Here is a 20,236-nt window from a genome sequence, read left to right on the forward strand (position 1 = left end):
ATTAGAACTGATAAATTCAGTAAAGTTGCAGGATACAGAATCAACATACAAAAATCAGTAACATTTCTGATTTCAATATATGCCAACAGTGAACGATCTGAAAAAGAAATCAAGAAAGTAATCCCATTTGCAATAGCTACAAATAAAATAAAATACCTAGGAATTAACTTAACCAAAGAAGAGAAAGATCTCTACAATGTAAACTATAAAACATTAATGCAAGAAATTGGAGAGGACACCAAAAAATGGGAAGACATTCCATGCTAATGAATTGGAAGAATCAATATTGTTAAAATGTCCATATTACCTAAAGCAATCTACAGATTCAATGCAATCCCTATCAAAATACTAATGACATTCTTCACAGAAATAGAAAAAAAAAAAAGAAAACAGTCCTAAAATTAATACGGAAACACAAAACACCCAGGATATCCAAAGCTATCCAGAGCAAAAATAACATACTGGAGGAATCACATTACCTGACTTCAAATTATACTTCAGAGCTATAGTAACAAAAACAGCATTGTACTGACACATAAACCAATGAAACAGAATAGAGAACCCAGAAACAAATCCATAAATGTAAAGTGAATTCATTTTAGACAAAGGTGCCAATAACACATATTGGGGAAATGACAGTCTCTTCAATAAATGATGCTGGGAAAATTAGACATTCGTATACAGAAAAACAAATGACAATATGACCCTATCTCTTATCATATGCAAAAATCAAATCAAAATGGATTGAGACTTAAACCTATGAAACTACTGAAAAAAATTAACGAGACGTGGCAGTGTGCGCCTGTAGTGCCAGCGAATCGGGAGGCTGAGGCAGGAAAATTGCTTGAACCCTGGAGGCGGAAGTTGCAGTGAGCCGAGATCATGCCACTGCACTCCAGCCTGGGCGACAGAGCGAGACTCAGTCTCAGGAAAAAAAAAAAACAACCAACAAACAAAAAAAACACAAAAACAAACAAACAAAAAAAACATTGGGGAAACTCTCCAGGACATTGGACTGGGCAGTTATTTTTTGAGTAATATCCCACAAGCACAGGCAACCAAAGCAAAAATGGACAAATGGGATCACATCAAGTTAAGAAGCTTCTGCACAGCAAAGGAAACAATCAACAAAGTGAAGAGACAACCCATTGAATGGGAGAAAATATTTGCAAACTAGTCATCTGACATGGGATTAATAAACAGAATATATAAGGAGCTCAAACACTCTATAGAAAAAAATCTAATAATCCAATTAAAAATGGGCAAATAGTCCAAATAGACATTTCTCAAAAGAAGACAAACAGGTATATAAAAAGGTGCTCAAAAGAAGACATACAAAAAGGTATATAAAAAGGTGCTCAACATCACTGATCATCAGAGAAATGCAAATCCAAAACTACAATGAGACATAATCTCACCCTAGTTAAAATGGCTTTTAATCCAAAAGACAGGTAATAACAAATGCTGGTGAGAATGTGGAGAAAAAAGAACCCTTGTACCCTCTTCGTGGGAATGTAAGTTAGTACAACCACTATGGAGAAAAGTTTGGAGGCTTTTCAACCAACTAAAAATAGAGTCACCATATGATCCAGCAACCCCCTGCAAGGTATATACCCAAAAGAAAGGAAATCAGTATATCAAAGAGATATCTGCACTCCCATGTTTACTGCAGCACTAATCACACTAGCTAAGATTTGGAAGCAACCTAAGGATCTATCAACATATGAATGGATGAAGAAAATGTGGTACATATACACACTGGAGTACTATTTAGCCATAAAAATGAATGACATCCTATCATTTGCAACAGCATGGACGGTGCTGGAAGTCATTTTGTTATGTGAAATAAGTCAGGCACAGAAAGACAATCTTCACATGTTCTCATTTATTTGTGGGAGTTAAAAATTAAAATAATTGAACTCATTGAGCTATGTAATAGAACAATGGTTGCCTGAGGCTGGGAAGAGTAGTGGGGGTACTGGAGGTGGTTAATGGATACCAACATATCATTAGATATAATGAATAAGATCTAGTGTTTTATGGCACAACAGGGTGACTATGGTCAACAATAATTTATTGTACATTTAAAAATAAGTAAAGAGTATAATTGGATTGTTTGTAACACAAGGATAAATACTTGAGGTGATAGATACCCAATTTACCCTCATGTGATTATTATTCATTTTATGCTTGTATCAAAATATTTTATGTACCTCATAAATGCACCCCTGTTACATACTCACAAACATTAAAACTTTAAAAAAAGAAAGTGGACTTGGATTAGTTGTAAATGTATATTGCAAACTCTAGGGCAACCACTAAATTTTCTTTTAAAGTATAGTATAACTGATATGTTAAGAAAGAAGAGCAAATGAAATCATATAAAATGCTCAATTAAAACCACAAAAGGCGAAAAAAGAGTGGAAGACAAAGATAGGAGCAAGAACAAGGGTAACAAATAGAAAATAGTAACACATAGAATAGATATTAATCCAAATATATTAATAACCACTTTTAACATCAATGGACATCAATGGTTTAAATGCATCAACTAAAAGACAGATAACAAGAAATCTACTTTAGATGAAATGACACATATATAAATTAAAAGTAGGGCTAGGCCAGGCCAGCACCCTTCAGCCTCACACTCCTCTCTCACATTACCATTTTTAAACTTTAAATTTAAAAAAAAAAATTAAATAATTAAAAGTAAGTGGATGGGAAAAGATTTATTATGCTAACAGTAATCAAGAAAAAGCAAGAATTACTATGTTAACTTTAGACAGAGCAGGCCTCACAGCAAGGTAAGTGATTAGGGATAAAGAGGGCCATTAGATGATTTAAAAAAAGATCAATATTCTAAAAAACATAACAATCCTTAATATTTATATGCCCAAAAACAGAAGGTCAAAACACATGATCCAAAAACACAGGGAACGGCAAGGAGATAGAAATGAGTCCACTATTACAGGTGGATACTTCAGTACACTTCTGCCAGAAATGATTGAATCCGACAGGCAGAAAATCAGTATGGAGATAGTTAAAGACAACAAAAGTATCAATCAGACAGACATATTTAATATATAATAGACTATTTACCACCACCAACAGGATACACATTTTTCTCAAGCTCTCATGGAATATGTACCAAGATAGACCACATTCTGAACCATAAAAGACACTATACAAATTAAATTTTAAAAAATCATACAATATCTGCACTCAGATAATTGAGTTAAGCTACAAATCAATAACAAAAAGATAGCTAAAAAAAACCCTCAAAATATTTGGAGATTAAACCACACACTTTTACATTACACAAGTGAAAGAAGAAATCTCAAAGCAAGTTTTAAAATATTTTGAATTAACTAAAAATAAAAACACAACATTCTAAAATTTGTGAGCTGCAATGAAAACAGTGCTTAGAGAAAAATTAATGGCATTTTATGTACATGTTAAAAGAAAAATCTAAAATTAACCTGAGCTTCCAACTTAGGAAACAAGAAAAAGAAGAACAAATCAAATCCAGAGTAAGTAGAAGAAAAGGAATAATAACAATTAAAGAAGAAATCAATAAAGTTGAAAACAGGAAATCAATAAAGAAAGTTAACTAAACCTAAATATGATTTTTTGAAAAGATCAATAAAATTAATAAGCCTCTAGCTAACTAAGAAAGTTAACTAAAAATGAGGGAGGACACAAATTATTATCAAAAATAAAAGAATAAATATCTATACAGATCCTATGAACATGAAAGGGGTAATAAGTGAATACTACGAACAACTCTATGTTCAGTATAATGAGGAATACATATCCTTATGCATTTGTCCAAACCCATAGAATGTACAATGCCAAGAGTGACCTCTAATGTAAACTATGGTCTTTGGGTGATAGTGAAGTGTCAATGTAGGTTCGTCAATATTCACAAATGAACCACTCTGGTGAAGGTTATTGATAAAAGAGAAGGGTAGGCATGTGTCAGGCAGGGTATATGTGGAAAATCTCAGTACCTTCTGCTCAATTTTGCTATGAATCTAAAACTTCCCTAAAAAATACAGTCCAATATTAAAATAATGCTTAGATCCATTAACCAAAGAACCAGGGGCAGTATGCTTATTGAGTAAACCAAAATTTTTAAGAAAAATTAGAATCACACAAATTCATGCAAGTACAATGAAGAGAATAGTTGGTAAGGAAGAGAAAAAGCCATCTCCTGGTTGGAAAAAAAAAAAACATAATCATAGGGAGATCAGTATTACTGATATGATTTGGCTGTGTCCCCACCCAAATCTCATCTTGAATTCCCACACTTCGTGGGAGGGACCTGGTGGGAGGTAACTGAATCATGGGGGCAGGTCTTTCCTATGCTGTTCTCATGATAGTGAGTAAGTCTCATGAGACCTGACGGTTTCATAAGGGGGAGTTTCCCTGCACAAGTTCTGTTCTCTTGTCTGCTGCCATGTGAGACATGCCTTTCACCTTCCACTATGATTGTGAGGCCTCCCCAGCCATGTGAAACTGTAAGTTGATTAAACCTCTTTCTTTTGTAAATTGCCCAGTCTGAGGTATGTCTTTATCAGCAGCATGAAAATGGACTAATACAGTGAACTGGTACCAGTAAAGTGGGGCACTGCTGAAAAGATACCCAAAAATGTGGAAGCGACTTTGGAACTGGGTGACAGGTATAGGTGGAACAGTTTGGAGGGCTCAGAAGAAGACAGGAAAATGTGGGAAAGTTTGGAACTTCCTAGAGACTTGTTGAATGGCTTTGATGAAAAGCCTGAGAATGATATGAACAATAAGGTCCAGGATGAGGTGGTCTCAGAGGGAGATGAGGAACTTGTTGGGAACTGGAGCAAAGGCAACTCTTACTATGTTTTAGCAAAGAGACTGGCAGCATTTTGCCCCTGCTGTAGAGATTTGTGGAACTTTGAACTTGAAAGAGATGACTTAGGGTATCTGGTAGAAGAAATTTCTAAGCAGCAAAGCATTCAAGAGGTGACTTGGGTGCTGTTAAAGGCATTCAGTTTTATGAGGGAAACAGAGCATAAAAGTTTGGAAAATTTGCAGCCTGACAATGCAATAGAAAAGTAAATGGGCTTTTCTGAGAAGAAATTCAAGTGGGCTGTAGAAATTTGCATAACTAATGAGGAGCTGAATGTTAATCACCAAGACGATGGGGAAAATGTTTCCAGGGCATGACAGAGACCTTGGAAGCAGCCTCTACTATCACAAGCTCAGAGGTTTCTGAGGAAAAAATGGTTTCCTGGGCCAGTCCCAGGGTCCCCATGCTGTATGCAACCTAGAAATTTGGTGTCCTGTGTCCCAGCTGCTCCAGCTGTGACTAAAAGGGGCCAAGGTACAGCTAGGGCTGTTGCTTCAGAGGGCGGAAGCCCCAAGCCTTGGCAGCTTCCATGAGGTGTTGAGCCTACGGTGCTCAGAAGTCAAGAATTGAGGTTTGGGAACCTCCACCTCAATTTCAGAGGATGTATGGAAATGCCTGAATGCCCAGGCAGAAGTTTGCTGCAGGGACAGGGCCCTCATAGAGAACCTCTGCTAGGGCAGTACAGAAGGGAAATGTGGGGTCAGAGCCTCCGCACAGAGTCCCTACTGGACCACTGCTTAGTGGAGCTGTGAGAAGAGGGCCACCATCTTCCAAACCCCAGAATGGTAGATCCACCAACAGCTTGCACCATGCACCTGGAAAAGCTTCAGACACTCAACACCAGCCCATGAAAGCAGCCAGGAGAGGGGCTACATTCTGCAAAGCAACAGGGGTGGAGCTGCCCAAGACCATGAGAATCCACCTCTTGCATCTGTGTGACCTGGATGTGAGACATGGAATCAAAGGAGATCATTTTGGAAATTTAAGATTTGACTGCCCTGCCAGATTTCAGATTTGCATAGGGCCTGTAGCCCACTTTTTTTGGCCAGTTTCTCCCATTTGGAATGGCTGTATTTACCCAATGCCTGCACCCTCACTGTATCTAGGAAGTAACTAACTTGCTTTTGATTTTACAGGCTCATAGGCGAAGGGACTTGGCTTGTTTCAGATGGGACTTTGGACTGTGGACATTTGAGTTAATGCTGAAATGGGTTAAGACTTTGGGGGACTGTTGGAAAGTCATGACTGGCTTTGAAATATGAAGACATGAGATTTGGGAGGGATGGGGGCAGAATGATATGATTTGGCTGTGTCCCCACCCAAATCTTATCTTGAATTCCCACATGTTGTGGGAGGAACCTGGTGGGAGGTAATTGAATCATGGGGCAGGTCTTTCCTATGCTGTTCTCATGATAGTGAGTAAGTCTCATGAGATCTGATGGTATCATAAGGGAGAGTTTCCCTGCACAATCTCTCTTCTCTTGTCTGCCACCATGTGAGATGTGTCTTTCACCTTCCACCATGATTGTGAGGCCTCCCCAGCCATGCGGAACTGTAAGTCGATTAAACCTCTTTCTTTTGTAAATTTCCCAGTGTTGGGTGTGTAATTACCAGCAGCATGAGAACGGGCCAATACAATTACATATACAAAATGTATGTATCTACGGTTTTACCTTTTTGTGTTTTTCTATCTTTTTTTTAGACAGGAAATTAATGCAGGAGTTCTGACTACTGAGAGAACTGATAGAGATCCATGGGAAAGCAACCTAGGCCATAGAAAAAAGTCAGGTATCACTCTCTGATAATAGCAGCTAAACCAACACAAAGATGATTTCAGGGTATTTGGTATCTGATTTGACATCCCCAAGTTTGGATCAGTCTCAGAGGGTTCAACTCTACAAATCACCAAAGATTTAGTCAGAAATTAATTAAGATTAACTAAATGTTATTAACTTACCTATTTGCATTTGAATTTTAAAATCTCCTGGTAGTGGGGAGAGTTGTGGAATAATGTGGGCCAGCCAAGCAATGCTGGCTAGAAAGGTTCTTCATGCCCCCACACGGAGATATGATTATTTTCACAAAATGGTTTACAAATTATGCTCCTAAATACGTGACTTATTCCCACGATTTACTTTCTAGTGTTCTACGCTGTAGTCTTTTGACTTAGTTCTTGTATGTGTTTCAGATCCTACTAGGTGAATAACAGTAGAGACAGCATATTGTATAAGAAATTTAAGAAACAAGTGGGTAGTTGCAGCAAAAAAATTGTGAAGGATGCCATCAACCCCATGATTCTCTATTGTATAAGACTGTCTACTTGCATCATATCTCCTTAAATATTGTGATAACATCATACAAATGCTTTTAAATGTAATTCATATTTATGTAGGATTATATTCATTTTAGCTTCTTTTAAAATATTATCTTTCTATACAGAAAGCATACAATAATGGTAAAAGCCCTCAGCTAATTCTTTCAACATTCACTCAGCAAACATTTAATGAGAGTTTGTGCTTTGTTAAAACCAGTCCCAAGGGAAAGTGATTCCTCTCCAGAAAGCAGGGCTGTGACCTATATGTCACCACCCACCTGGAGACCACTTATCTAAACTGAGGGCAAAGAACCTGGGAGGAGATAAATCCGCTTCTTGGGTACTGGCCTTTTGAAACTCAAAACTAAAAAGTGATGGCAAACATCAGACAGGCAATTATCTCAATAACAAGATTTTTTATCACTGTTATTATAATAGCCAATCAAATTACCAAAGCAAACATGGGTGCCTACCTAATAAGCCTGTTTAAACCATCAGCAAGAATACGAACAGAAATATTTACAGGCAGAATTAGATTTATTCTAAGTAATTACCTGGTGATAGTAAATAAAAACATATACAACATCACCAAATACATACACACATGCATGCACATAGGCACATATACATATCAAAAAGCAAGACCATTCCATTCATTATAATATGACAGCCCTTATTTAATTTTGTTAATTTCATACTAAGCTTGAATTTAATAAATGAACTAAAACTCTGAGCTTCACAAGTGAATAATAGGTAACTATTAATTATGTTCTTGGTATCAGAGGTATATAAGAGGAAATCTATTTTGGGGGGCTTATGAAACTACTACCTCCTAGGTACCAACTCATAAAAGCCACATGACATTTGTTAATGTTCTGCAGTAAAGATTAATAACTCATTTCTTCAAATCTTTCTTTCCTCACAGCAGTCTGTGGATATGATATACCCATAAATCTCATCTTGACTAAAACTTAAATTATACAGTCGAGCTTGTCTGATTGAGATATAACTACTGAACTAAAGTAGAGCCCGGTTCATCAAAAGTTTTACTTAGGTTTCTGAATAACTGTCAGCATATTTCAGCTGCGTATTATATAATCCAAAGCTATTTAATGGATAATAATATAAAATGTGATTGTAACATATTCCTTCAGTCCCAATCATTTGAATTTGGATAATTCCAGTGGTGTGTCTTTGAGAAAAGATCCACACTTAAAAGACTAAAAAGACATGAGTATTATTAAGCAGAGTTTTTCTAATTCAATGGTGTTCTAGCAGTAAAATTCTTGCACTTGACGAACACTTGAATTTGGTCTATAAAGTCTAAGCTTCCCTTACAATTTCATCTACCTCCATTTATACATGCATTGATTTGTTTATAATAGTTTCTCAGTAAAATTACCATGTTATACCTTTAAAATAAATAAAATGAATACCAGCAATAACCATGGTTTGTTTAGGCTGATCCATTTTTTAAAAGTATGAGTAATTTTTTAAGATGTAAACTTGAATTAAGACAGAGACTGTCAACTTCATTTTGGCCTCAAAACAATACAACAGCCATGCACATACTAAAGTCAACTGTCCCCATCATCAATAATCAAAATAAGTTAATGTGAAACATTCAGAAAATGTAAGTAATGATACTTAAAATACACTTGACACTGTGCTCACAGTTTAGCATTAATTGAATCTGCAAATATTTTTGAGTGTCTACTACATATCATGTTTCATATTACTGCAATGGACTCTGGAGATATAATGAAACAAAACAGATATAACCCACTCTTCAAAGAATTCACAGTATATTAGGGGAGATAAATATTTAAACATATAACTATAACACAATGTGGCAAACCCTTGAAGGTAAAAGGTGTCATAAAACCAAGCAGAAACTAGATAAAATAGGAACAAGTCATTCAAGTGAAAGTCAGTTCTTGCTAGTAAATTCACTGATTGATTCATTTAACAAATATATGCATGCCTATATACGATAGGCACTTGAGTGGGCAGAGTGGTAGGCACAGTCAAACATGGTCTCTCTCCTCATGTAGCTTATGGGCAGGTGGAAGAGACAGATTTTAATCAATCACACAAATGACTATAAATGGTTAAGTGCTATAAATGATAGGACGGAGAAATGCACATGACTTTGAGCACATAGGAAAAGGACATTGTCTACACAGAGGTCAGGGAAGACTTCCCAAAGGATGGGATGATAGGGCTCAAACAGGATGGGTGAACAGGAAGTAACTACATCAAGAGTATAGTAAAAAGCATTTCGGAGAGATGGAGCAGTATATGCAAAGATCCTGTGGTGAAAGGAAGCAAGGGGAGAAAAACACACTGAAAGGATAATGGAGCTAGAGCAGAAAAATAATGACATGGTCCAAAGGGGCTGTAGAGGCTAGTAGGGCCAGCCCATGCAATCCTTTAGCTATATAAAGGTGTCTTATTTTCTTTAATAAAGGGAGGGGCAAATAAAAGTTTATTCAGATAAATGCTGAAGAGTAAATGAGGGAGTCCAAGAAAGAAAAAAGCATTACTTGAATGAGGGTCATGTGGTGAGGGTAAAGTTGTGATGTGGAGACAAATAGCTGGATTCAAGAGATGTTTAGAAATAGATTAAGGAATGACACCTGAGTTCCTGGCTTAAGTAACTGAATGGATAGTGATGTCCTTTACTGAGAAGACTGGTGTTCAAGAAAGAATAGAGAATCATGAATTTGGTTTTAAACATATTGAATTTTTGAAGCCTTGAAGATGTCCAGGAGGGGAAATGAAATAGGTAGCTAGACGTATGTCTGGAACTTGGAAGTGATGTATGGTCCATTATAATTTATATGACATCCACACTTAAGTGACAGGTGAGATGGACATTGAAGGAAGAACCTACTTAGAAGACAAGAAGGCTTAGAACTAAATATGATGGATTCCTAACTTCTAATTACATATAGGAAAATCTATTCTGATATTAAACTTTATTTTTCCCCCTTCTCCTTATTGAATTTTTTTGCGTGTTTTGCAAAATTGTTGTTTAAAGTCTGTGCGTGTTACACTGTCAGGTAAGTTAACCTTAATTAAATAATTATTAGTTTGCCCTATTTCAGAAATTATGCATTCAACCCTTTGATACAGAAAACCTTTATTTTCCTAATCCAACACTATTATAACTTTCATATTAGCAGTTCTCAACCCCTTATCTGCAGCTCTAAAATCCAAAAAGCTCTGAAAACCAGAAGGATTTTTTAAATTGGCACAAGCCCATTAGGTGATAAAATCATCCAGGAGATAAAGGCTATTAACAGTCTTTCTTTATTCCAGTTAGAGTAAATATTCGTATGCTTTGCTGCAGATGTATTAATATGTTAGATTATGGGATGCTGCCTTAGGCCCTTCTGGGGGTGTCAAGTAATAATGTTGCACCATATTACTTTTCTAAATCTAAAATATTGATAACTCCAAAACACATCTAACCCTAGGATTTTGGATAACACATTTTGCACCTCTTTTTGCTTATTGAGTAAATAGCACGTGGAAAAGACTATCCTGCATGCTTTGAATATATAATATCTCATTTAATTTCATGACCTCATAAGGTGTCATGATATCATAAAACTCAAATAGGTCTCCACAGTTATTTTTAAGACTTCCCTGTATATAAAATTGTTTATTCTTTTTATAAATTATAGTATATCAAAAATTAAAATTCAAATTGATTGTATGCTATCTATTGAAGAAATAGTATGAAGAACTGTCCTTTCCAATTCAACAGACCAACTGAATGAATGAAATATATATTCTTTTAATAAGAATTAATTGTCCAGGTATTAACAATATTATATGGTTATATTACTAAGCATATTTATATTTAGAACTTATGGATTGATGTGGTTTTGACATTTGCCTCCCAATCTCATGCTGAAACATGACCTCCAGTGTTGGAGGAGGACCTAGTGGGAGGTGTTTTGGTCAGGGGGTGGATCCCTCATCAATGGCTTGGTGCTATTCTCACGATAATGAGTGAGTTCTCACTAGATCACTTCACAACAGAGCTAGTTGTTTAAAAGAGCTTGGAAATTCCTCCTCTCTCTCTTTCTCTCTCTTGCCATGTGACACACCTGCTCCCTCTTCCCCTTCTGCCATGACTGTAAGCTCCCTGCAGCCTCAGCCAAAGCAGGTGCTGGCACTATGCTTCTTGTAGGATCTGCAGAACCATGAGCCAAAATAAACCTCTTTCTTCGTAAATGACCCAGCCTTAGGTATTCCTTTATAGAAATGCAAATTGGACTCACACATAACTGTATTTAAATAAGTTAATATTACAGTTTATATGCTTTTTAGAAGCTTAAGGCCCTCTACAATTCAATAGTTTCCTGTAAAGGTGGAAATGTACAAGTTAATTACTTCAATTAGATTCAGTAAAATTTCTTTAAATTTCTATTCAAAAAAGTTCATCTGATTGCATTAGAGTTTAAACATTAATATTTATTAAGAAGGCTTTTATAAAGCAAAAGACATTTTGCTTCAGAAATCAACAATTGTGTTTAGATGATGTTTTACACTTCACAGTTACTTTTAAGTTAAAACAAAGCTCTCATGTCATGCTTAAATGTACTGTTTTCCATCCTCAGTATAGTGACCTTTTGATATCATTTTCATTATGAAGTTGTGAATGTTCTTTCAAGGATGCAGAGAATAAAGGAGAAACAAGACTGATTTCTTTAAAAGGTCATATTTCAAATATCTGGAAAGTCATCAATGCACTTTTTAAAAAAATCTACATGCTGTAAAATAGATCTAAAGCCATAAATGGGAACATCTGGGATAAAAACCCAAAACTTACTATAGTGTTTGCCATCTCTTATAAAATTCTGTTGCAAATACAGTATATTTATTGTTGTATTATATCCTAATGCTGGATATGGAATATCAATGTATTCTCAGCCTATTCAGATATTAAAAAATGAATTCATTGGCTAGAAAATATAGTTGAATTTATAACAAAGAAACTTATACATTTTCATAAGAATAAAAGGATTATAAAGATTTATTTCTGGAAAAAAAAAAAAAAAAAACCCAAACAATTCAAATGGTCTTATACTATCTTAGGCTGGAAAACTTTTTATATCCTTATTTTATGGGTTGATATATGATCATCAATTAATGAAGTCATTTTTATCATAATAAAATGTCATGATTAGAACTGCAGTATTCTAGTCTAACCATTTTCTAAAGAATATGATTGGGGCATTTTAGGTAGTTAAATATTAAAATAATCTAATTGAAAATGAGACTTTTAGATTATTCATTTTGATTGACAAACTGCAGAAAATGGGTTTCTTTCCTAAGTACATTTCTATCACTCAATTTTGGTAGATAAAACCAGTATTTCTGAGTAAAAGGTAAAATATACCTTGTCTTTGTTTTACTTAACTAATAAATGCAATTATTCTTGAATTTTTGTGTTTTAAATGCACCTGTTATTTTGGCATCTACATCAATCAAATTCCTCAAGTACTGTGCTTCTGTGTAGGAAAGGTGTTCAGTTACATGGTTGTCATAGCTGCATTTTCCCCTTGTAACTAAACAACAATGTTCTTTGGAATTAAAGAAGCACACTTTTGATTTAAATTATTTATAGTTATAAAAAGAACATTAAAATGGAGGAGCAATTCATTGAGAAGACTGATCACAGGACCTCATGGACTAACTGAAAGCTTCAGAATGCAAAACAATAGCCACAGTCATGAGGTGAGCATTCCAGTGACTTAACTTGTACTTCCATTTCATCTATTAAAAAATACTGGACCTCAGATGAATTATCAGACTTGTTCACAATCACACAAGCAACAAGTGAACTAAATTGCATGTATTTTGATTGTAATAGGGTATTCTTTCAACTGTAAGTTACTTATTATCAGTTAATAAGTATAATGAAATTTAAATCCAGTCCTCATTACTAGGGGAAAAAAATGTGTTCTATATAAACAAACAAATATGAATCAACTGACCTCACTTTCTGGTAGAAAAATCATTTGGAGTTGCTTTCCAAATATAGGTGGAACTTGACATAGTCACTCATTACTTTTTGTTGTGTCTTGTGTTTCACTTTGTTTTGTAATCACCATATGCTGCAAGATCTAGGTTCTTCATACAGTACAGGACAATGTTACAATTGAAATCTACCATCAGAAAATATTAACTTTAGATGAGTGTTTTATTTCTTTTAGGTGCTTTCTTCCACTTTAGTCCCTAGATTATGTAATAAATATACACTGAACAGACCCAGCCTTCTTCTCCAGGAGAAATTTTAGTTTCTTGAGATCATCTTTACTGTTATCTTAATGTTTGATTTCCTGAAAAACCTCTAATTCCCTTTCACAAGAAAGAAGAATGAAAAAGGAGAGAGGGAGCAGGAGGCAGAAAATAATATTATTTTCAGCTTGGCTTATCCTGCATAAATATCATGATTATGCTATTTTTTGAGAGATAATTTTAAGAAATGAATAAGTGCATATAAAATGTTGGAAAGAACTAAAATGACACAAAATTTCTTTGTACGATTTTTCCTCTGTGTCAAATACTTTTGAGAGATACAGAGAAAATAAAAATACTAGATAATGTAGCTTTGGAATATATGGAAAATGTTTTACTGTAACTTCATAGAGGAGGACCCAAAATTCTGTTTTCCATACTAATTTGAGCTTACAAACCAACTTTAAAAAAGAAAAAAAATTCATTGAAAATTTACAAATTAAAACAAAAATATTTTTGAAAGTATATTTGTTTTAGCCTTTTTAATCTTTTTTCCAGTTACTTGCAATTTCTCTGTAGCAGGCAAAATAATACCTCCCCACCAAAGATGTCCACATCTTACCCTAGAACCTGTGGATAAGTAAATTTACATTATACAAGGAGTTTTGTATGTGTTATTAAGTTGCAGACCTTGAGATGGATAGATTATCCTGGATTATCGTGCATGGCCTAATATAATCTCAAGGGTTCTTATAAGATGGTGACAGGAGGACCAGAATCAAACAGAAGGTGTGACTGTGGAAGTAGGTATCAGAGTGATGTGGAACACTGAATCAGTGTGGGCAGCCTCTAGATGCTGGAAAACGCAGGCAAGCACATATTTCTCTAGAGCCTCCAACAAGGATCTAAACCCTCCTGATACTTTGATTTTAGCCCAGTGAAACTCATTTCAAACTTCTATTCTCTAGAACTGTAAGATAATAAATTTGTGTTGTTTTAACCACTGAGTTTGTGGTAATTTTGTTACAGCAGCAATAGAAAACTAATATATACTTATATATCATTATCAATATTATATTTATAATATAATTATAAATTATTAGAATTATATAATTCTGAGTTTTATTTTCTCATTCTTATAGCACCTGAAATTTTGCTGATGGTTTCTATCAAACACGTTTCCTGGAAATGCTGGTGCCATGGTATTTCCCCATCATAACTGAAGTAACTTGAGGAAAATTCTGACAAAGGTCAGTTTCCTAAATCTAATGCCTTTAATCAATCCCTCAATGTTATTAAATGCTCTAATAGTAGAAGTTATAAAGGAAAAAAGTTCTCTCTTTTTCTCCCTTTCTTTCTCAGCATGATCTGAAGAAAGTGTAGATGAGAACAAATTACAATAGAAAAGAAAGCAGAAGCTATCCATAAGGAAGTACAAGCACTACCCTAAGCTTTGTTCTTACAGCCCCGATGACACACTTGAGGCTTTTAGTAGGATAATAATGTGATCAATTAGCATTTCAGAAATATCCCTCAGGCAATAATATAAAGGGGGAGTTATTGAAAGACCTTACTGGGTAAAAGGACGAAAAAAAGAAAAAAGAAGACTCGTGAGCCAAATATTACCGATAATATATAGGAATTAAAGGAAAATGTGTATAAGACTTCTGATTGATTTATACACCACGATGAAGGGAAAGGAAGATTCACATATTATGCATTCAGATGAAATGGGAAATAGTGAAGAAGATGGCACCAAAATAAGGAATAGAAGTGAAAGCAAAATGTTGAAGGAAAGAAGAAGAATTCAGCATTGGGCTTAATGAAATGAGAGCCTGTGGAACATGTAAGGGGAAGGTCTAGTTCACAGCTAAGATGTGCAGATTTAGAGACACAAACGTGGTGGCCAGTTTAGAAGCCACTGCATCAGGGTTTTAGATAAAGTCACTCAGGATGAAGAATTAGATTTAGAAGGACAGAATGTTAAGTAAAGGACTTGAGGAGCATCAATATCCAAGGGGTAAGAGAGACTAAAAGAATCTCAAAAAAGTATTACACAAGGAAAGTCAAGACAGAACACCATCACAAAGCTAATGTAGGATAGAGTTTCAAGAAAAAAGTGGTTAACAAAATCAAATGCCTCAGGGATGAGGGAAGAGAAGGAGCAGAAGATATCCCCAGCAGACTGAGAAATAACTGGGTCACTGGCAAGCCTCAGGAGAATTAGTTCAGGGACTTGGCAAGAACAGAAATCAGCCTGCAGGGATTGGAGGAACTTTGTGAACTGTCAGTGAGGAGACCTCAGGGCTCAGACTAGGCACCTTCTTCTCTCTCTCCACATTCTTCCCATAGAGGATCTCATCAGTGCTCATGGTTTTAAATACCAGCTATATGCTAATGACTCCCAAATTTGCATTTCTGTTCCCTATCTCTGTGTGAGGATGGAAGCTCACATGCAGTGACTTGAACAGTGAATTGGGGGTGCCACAGGTACAGCACTAAGCACCTCCTCCTCCCTCTATTCACTTTCCATGTGAATGACACGCCCTATTCCCACAGATAAAATACTATGTACATGCTAATATAACATAAATTCCAAAGTTATGTTTCTGCTCTGGAATTTTCACATTTTTTTCTAGGAGGCCCAGCTACGTAGTATATATAATATATAGTATATTGGATATATATAGTTATAGTATATGCATACAGTATATAATATTCTATATGTACATAGCATATCTTATATAGGACACCCAGCTTTATATACGATATACTATCTGTATTATATACTACTATGTACTATATCTACCTATCTCTCTATATAATCACAAACATCTCAATATTTAAAATTTATATGTCCCAAGCACTTATTATTTCTCCTAAAACCTGCTACTCCTTAGTCTTGTCCAATTCAGAAACTAGTCTTCCTTTATTCCTTCATTTTCCTTACCCCCAACATACAACTCCACCATCCACTCTAACCTGCAACTATGTCTCAAATAGAACCATCCTTGCCTCTGCTACCAGAGCTCTAGTCCAAGCCACCATCATTGCATACTGTGAATCCTTCATTACTAATCTTCCAGTTTCCTCCAACCCTCTCCAATCATTCTTCTTACAGCCTTCAAAATGTACTTTTAAAATCACAGAATGGATCACCTGTTCTCCCATCTAAAATCTTTCAATTGCTTTCCATGTTTTTTTGTTTGTTTATTTAGACAGAGTCTCGCTCTGTCACCCAGGCTGGAGTGCAGTGGCACGATCTCCACTCACTGCAACCTCTGCCTCCCGGGTTCAAGTGATTCTCCTGCCTCAGCCTCCTGAGTAGCTGGGACTATAGGCACACACACCACCGCAGCTGGCTAATTTTTGTATTTTTCGTAGAGATGGAGTTTCCCCATATTGGCCGGCTGGTCTCGAACTCCTGACCTGGTGATCTGTCCATCTTGGCCTCCCAAAGTGCTGGGATTACAGGCATGAGCCACCACACCCGGCACTTTCCATTTTATCTAGAATGAAATCCAGCTTCCGTACCATGACCTTCGTGTTGAATAGGTGATCACCCAACTATCTATCCAACTTCTTCCCATACCACTCTCTCTCTCCTATGCCTACTGTGGTCTAGCCATACTGGACTTTTACAGTTACTGCAATAAGACAAACACTATCCCCCAATACAGCTTCCATTTATGCTTTTCCCTACTGCCTGGAATGCTCTTTCTTGGGTTCTACAAAAGCATGGCTTCTCTCTTTTCAGGAACAGGTTACAATGTCTTCTAACCACTGTTTAAATAGGTCCTTCCCTAATATATTTTTGTTTCTGAACTCTCATAGTATTGGCATTTTGTAATTAGTTATTCATTTTTTTATGTATTACCTGTCCTACTGACTACATTCTAAGCTGCTTTAGGACAAGCAATTTGTCTCTCTTTATTTATTATTGGACATCCAGTGTTGGGCAAATATTAGGTTCTTAATAAATATTAATTAAATGAACAAATCAGTGAATGAGGAAAAAAGCCAATAATAATAATATAGTATTAATAACTACCACATATTAAATGCTTATAGATGTCAAGACCTATTGCACATGTTTTACATGTATTAATCTTTTAATCTCCCCAACAGCCCTATGAGCTAGGAACTATTACTATCCTGGTTCAGTGATGAGTTTACTAAGATAAAGAGAAGTTAAGTAATATGCCAAAGGACCCATAGCTAGCAGAGCCAGAATTTGAATGCAGGAAGTCTGATTCCAGAGTTCATACTCTTCATCTGCTTTAAAGATTTCAGAATGCCTGATCATAATCAGAAAGAGAAATTTTGGGGACTTCAGTTATTACAGATGGCTCCAGGGTTAATGGATGTATGTGAGTGTGTGTGTTTATAAATGGAGAAGCTTTACCAACTTTATATGCACAGGCTAACATGTTATTGGATTGAAGTAGAAGATACAAGCAAGAAAGGGTGACTAATTAAGTAAGTGACTGAAAAAACAGGTGTAAGTGAGACCTAACACAAGGAATCTAGCTTTGGGAAGATCATTCTACTTCTGTGAAAGAGGAGAAAAAATAGAGCTGAGGCTCATAAGGACATTTTAGATTTCTGGGGAGGAAGTTGAAGATTTTAAGTTTTTATTAGATTTTCCCAATAAAGTCATAGGCAAATTCGTCTATTGAGTGTATGGGGAGAAATGATGAAGTATGAGGTTGAATGAGAGAAGTGAAATGTACCAAATATACCAAATGGAATGGAAGATAATGGGCTAAAACAATGCCAGCTGGATAAGGTAGAGGCCCCAACTGAGATGGAAGACCACTCACTGGTTTGTAAAAGCAAGAATCTGCAAGTTGTTGTGGGACTATCTTCCACCACAGCAGCCTGGAGGCTGAGCTGATAGGCTGCACTGGTCATGGATGGTTAGGTAAAGCAGAACAACAGGGCCAGAAGTGACTCTAATTATAAGAACTGATTTAATCATCACAAGAAAAGGTAAAGGCTGGATGTGGAAGGGAGCAATGGGCAGGCCAAAGAGTGAGGAAAAAAAAATAGCCAATGGATTAGGAGACTCCATCAGACCAAAGAGAATGTATAGAGAGAGAGAGAGCAAGAGAGCTGGAAGACTGAGAGCTATGGTCCAGCCAAAAACACTGGATCACTCTGAAAGCTCCTGGGCCTAGGAAACAAGGCACCCCTCAATCTACCCTTGTTAACTTTTACAACAATTTCATCTTTCCCTTCAATTGCTCACTAATTCTCTAAAGGAATGACTCAACATTCTCATAAGTGTCCGTGCTTGTATATTCTATCACAAAAGATTTATTGGTAAACTTGTCTACCAACCATACTTCCTGTTCTCAATGGGAAATTATTCCCAAAGGTTGCAGCATCCAACATGGTTTTAGTCCTCTTTCTTAAGGCTTACACACTATCTTACAATGACAAAATGGCAGCCATCTTCTTAACTTTAAGCGCAATGTTTTCATCAGACTAAATAAAAAATCAGTGATGTATTGCACAGATAATTTGGTTTCTAAATGTTTCCATCATTTAATAATTTTCACCACTGGTGACACAATTTATGTGAGTGTTCTCTATTATTGAAACTGAATATTTTGCTACACAGCCCCAAGATTATGAAACAAGCAGACAAGTGGAATAGAATCCAAAGAGAACAGTGAAAAGAACAAATAAGACACCCATACAGTATTTTGCTATTTACAGAGCACTTTCTTAACCACTGGCTTATCTAATCCCTTCTATAATCTCTTATCTGATCCCTTATGATTAGAATTCCTTATTTGATGCATTTTATTGATGAGCTAACTAAGGCTCAGAGAGATTAAGCAACTTGTGTGCTAACTTCAATAACTTGCTTAATCTAAAAATCAAACCAAGTCTACTTCTATTCTGGTGAACTCTTCAATTTTAAAAATATATTAATAATAATAGCATGAATTGCTAATAATTACTGAAAGTTTGCTATGTGTCAGGCATGTTATTTAGAGCTCTGCCTGCCTTGCTTCATTTAATCCTCACAGCAAGCCAGTGAGGTGAGCCACCTTATTCTCTACATACTACATAATGCCTGAGAAAGTGGGGCCAGAGGATAGGTTAAGGACTTCTGAAGCAAAACGATAATTCAAATCCACACTCACTACTCACTACTGAGTCTTTGTTCCTAATCACTTAGTAATTATGAAAACAAAGCTTTTGCTTTCCAAATTAACATTTTTTTTCTAAATGAGAATACCTTGTGCAGAGGAGGGAGCAATCCAATAGGCTCTGTGAGTTGCTGGTAGGGAGATAAATTTGGACAGTACATTTTTATAGCTAAAGAAAATAGTTCTGAATGTGTAAAAGATTTGAAGCAACAAGATGATCGCTGAAACATTATTAATAATGATTCTATAATGTAAATAACACATAAAATTTAAATATATACCCTAGTGGTCTCCCTATAGCATTCTTTAAACTGTGGGATTCGATTTAGTTCTCTCTTTTATTCAGGTCAAAGGGCTTCTTTGCTAAAAACAATCATAATATAATTAGAAAGCATAAACCTGCAAAGCAAAGCTAACATGTTTCCTTTCCTTGTCGTAATCACACAGCAAAAATTTTAAATAGAATACGTAAAGTGACTCTAAGAGAAAATATTACTGCTTAGCAATTTTAAGAAAAGTGTCATTATTTTAAAGTTGTTATTGACACTGTAGCCCTAAAATCTATCTAATCGTACCATTGGATTTTTTTTTTTAAGTACAGGAGATAGCATCTAA

General features: G+C 35.7%; 1 protein-coding gene across 17 annotated transcripts in view; it reads right to left on the minus strand.

The window, feature by feature from the left end:
• The window catches only part of TFEC (transcription factor EC), a 224,745-nt gene that overhangs the window by 65,416 nt on the left and 139,093 nt on the right, over positions 1 to 20,236 (minus strand). Inside the window, exon 2 of one of the 17 annotated variants that reach the window (XM_047420055.1) lies at positions 13,214 to 13,384. The exons of the other annotated variants lie outside the window; for them this stretch is intronic. Coding sequence (XP_047276011.1) covers positions 13,214 to 13,237 — 24 coding nt within the window. The 5' untranslated portion in view covers positions 13,238 to 13,384. The remainder of the gene's footprint in view (positions 1 to 13,213; positions 13,385 to 20,236) is intronic. 17 annotated transcript variants of the gene reach the window in all.

This window comes from Homo sapiens, chromosome 7 (assembly GCF_000001405.40).
Source record: "Homo sapiens chromosome 7, GRCh38.p14 Primary Assembly".
NCBI classification, from domain to species: Eukaryota; Metazoa; Chordata; class Mammalia; order Primates; family Hominidae; genus Homo; species Homo sapiens.